The sequence below is a fragment of the Homo sapiens genome, chromosome 1 (genome assembly GCF_000001405.40).
Source record: "Homo sapiens chromosome 1, GRCh38.p14 Primary Assembly".
NCBI classification, from domain to species: domain Eukaryota; kingdom Metazoa; phylum Chordata; class Mammalia; order Primates; family Hominidae; genus Homo; species Homo sapiens.
The window spans coordinates 246,834,952-246,837,918 of NC_000001.11; the positions used below are offsets into that span (position 1 = coordinate 246,834,952).

Below are 2,967 nucleotides of genomic sequence, written 5' to 3' on the forward strand. Positions count from 1 at the left end.
TTTTTTTTTTTTTTTTTTTTTTTTTTTTCTGGAGACGGAGTCTCACTCTGTCACCCAGGCTGGAGTGCAGTGGCACAGTCTCAGCTCACTGCAACCTCTGCCTCCCGGGTTCAGGCAATTCTCCTGCCCCAGCCTCCTGAATAGCTGGGATTACAGGCGCCCACCACCATGCCTGGCTAATTTTTGTATTTTTCTTAGAGACAGGGTTTCACCATGTTGATCAGGCTGGTCTCGAACTCCTGACCTCAGGTGATCCACCCGTCTTAGCCTCCCAAAATGTTGGGATTACAGGCGTGAGCCACCATGCCTGGCCATGATGAGCTGCTTCTAAAATTCATATGGATTGCAAAGGACCCATAGTAGCTAAAACAATCTTGAAAATGAAGAAAAAAGTAGAATTCACACTTCCTGATTTCACAACTTAATACAAACCAACAGTAATGAAGGCAGTGTGGTATTGACAAGGACAGACATACAAATTAATAGAATTGAGTCCAAAAATAAACCCTGACATCTATGGTCAGCTGATTTTTCAACAAGGCTGCTAGAACCATCCAATGGGGAAAAGAAGAGCCTTTTTAAGAAATGATACTGGGAGAATGGGATAGCTATGTGAGAAAGAATGAAATTGGCTGGATGCAGTGGCTCACGCCTGTAATCTCAACTCTTTGGGAGCCTGAGGTAGGGGGATAGCTTGAGGCCAGGAGTTTGAGACCAGCCTGGCAACATAGTGAGACCCTATCTCGATTAAAAAAAGAAAAAAAAGTTGGGCATAGTGGCACATACCTATAGCCCTGGCTATTTTGGAGGCTGAAGTACGGGGAGTACCTGAGCCCAGGAGTTTGAGGTTACAGCGAGCTTTGATCACACCACTGCCCCCCAGCCTGGGTGACACAGTGAGGCTCTGTCTCTTAAAAAAAAAAAAAATGAACTCTTACTATATACAAAATTATCTTGAATTAAAAGCCTAAACGTAAGAGCTAAAACTATAAAAGCCTTAGGAGAACAGGAGTAAATCTGCATGGCCTTGGATTGGACAAGGGATTCTTAGATATGACATCTAAAGCAAAGCAAGAAAATTGCCAACATTTAAAATGTTTCTGCTTCAAAGAACACTGAGAATGTGAAAAATACAGTCCACAGAATGGGAGGAAAATTTGCAAATCATGTATCTGATAAGGATTCATATTCATAATCTATAAAGATCAGCTCAATAATAAAGATGACCCAGTTTAAAAAATGAGCAAAGAATCTGAATTGATACTTCTCCAGGAAGATACACAAATACCCCTAAAAAGATGCTTGATATCATTAGTCACTAGAGAAATGTAAATCACAGCCACGACAGGCCACTTCACATCAGCTAGGATGACTGTAATTGGAAAGTCAGATAACAATTGTTGGCAAGGAGGTGAACAACGTGGAGCCCTCATGTACCGCTGTTGGGAATATACGTTGGCACAGCTGCTTTGGAGGACAATCTGGGAATATCTCAAATGATGAAACATAGTTACCATATGGCTCAGCAATTCAATGCTGAGGTATATAACCAAGAGAAATGAAAACATGCCCACACAAAAACTTAGCAGTCATTAATAATAGGCAAAATGCAGAACCAACTGAAGTGTCCTTCCACTGATGAACAAAACTTTGTGTATCCACAAAATAGAATACTGAATATTCACCAGCCATAGAGAATGACGTTTTAATATATGCTGCAACATGGGTGGACCTTGAAAACACGCTGTGTGAAAGAAGCCAGTCACAAAAGACTATATATGATTCCACTCACAGGAAACTTTTGCCCAGGAAGGGAAATCTGCAGAGCACATTAGTGGTTGCTTAGGGATGGGAAGTAGGGTAACTAAAAGGTGCAGAAATTCTTAGGTGATGAAATGTTCTGAAATTGACTGTGGTGATTGTTGCACATATTTAAAACCATTGAATTGTATACTTTGAATTGTATTACCTCAAAGTTGTTTAAAAGAGATTATGGTGAAAAAGCAGCTAAAATAGTTGTCAGGCACTGTGCTCTGCAATAGACATATTTCCTCTGTTACAATAGCAATCTTGTGAAGTGTCAAGAGCCCATTTTACAGATAAACTGAGGCCCAGAGAATACACAGTCTGAGAATATATTGCTTTATTTTTATTTTTGAGACAGAGTCTCACTCTGTCGCCCAGGCTTGGTTCACTGCAGCCTCTGCCTCCTGGATTAAAGCAATTCTCGTGTCTCAGCCTCCCAAGTAGCTGGGACTACAAGCGTGCGTGACCATACCTGGCTAATTTTTGTATTTTTAGTAGAGATGGGGTTTCACCATGTTGGCCAGGCTGGTCTTGAACTCAGCCTCCCAAAGTGCTGGGATTACAGGTGTGAGCCACTGTACCCAGCAATATATTGCTTCTTATCATGAAAGTGCCATAAAGTAGGTTCTCTGATCCCACAATGAACATAAGCACTAGATATGGAGTTAGAAAATTAGGCAGTGTCCAGATCACCTAGGCCCTGTAAACTGCAAAACTTTATTTTTAATAAACTGAAAGGTTTTGAGCAGAGAGCTCCATGATACTAGTATTTTTCTCTTGCTGCTAGGTAAAGAATGGATTGGGGGTGGCGAGTTCATGTAGGAGGTACTGCAGTTGTCTAGGCAGGATGATCTGTAACTGTCTACAGTGGTCCCCCCTTGTCTGCAGTTTCACTTTCTGTGGTTTGTTACCAGCAGTCAACCAGAATATGAAAATACAAAATGGAAAATTCCAGAAATAAACAACTTGTGTTTTAAATTGTGCCACCAGTCTGAGAAGCGTGTGAAAATCTCACGCCATCCCACTGTCCTGCCTGGACGTGAATCATCCTTATCTAGCATATCCATGTAGAGCCGCTTAGGAACCATCTTGGTTACCAGATGAGCATGGTGGCACTGCACTGCTTGTGCCCTTATGTGACTTAATCATGCCCCGAAGTAC

General features: G+C 41.7%; 1 annotated feature.

Moving 5' to 3' along the window:
* Positions 1,282-1,482: a silencer, noted in NCBI's record as "peak823 fragment used in MPRA reporter construct". NCBI's record gives its function as "represses an SCP1 promoter by STARR-seq MPRAs in K562 erythroleukemia cells {active_cell/tissue: K562}" and the evidence as "EXISTENCE:reporter gene assay evidence [ECO:0000049][PMID:32103011]".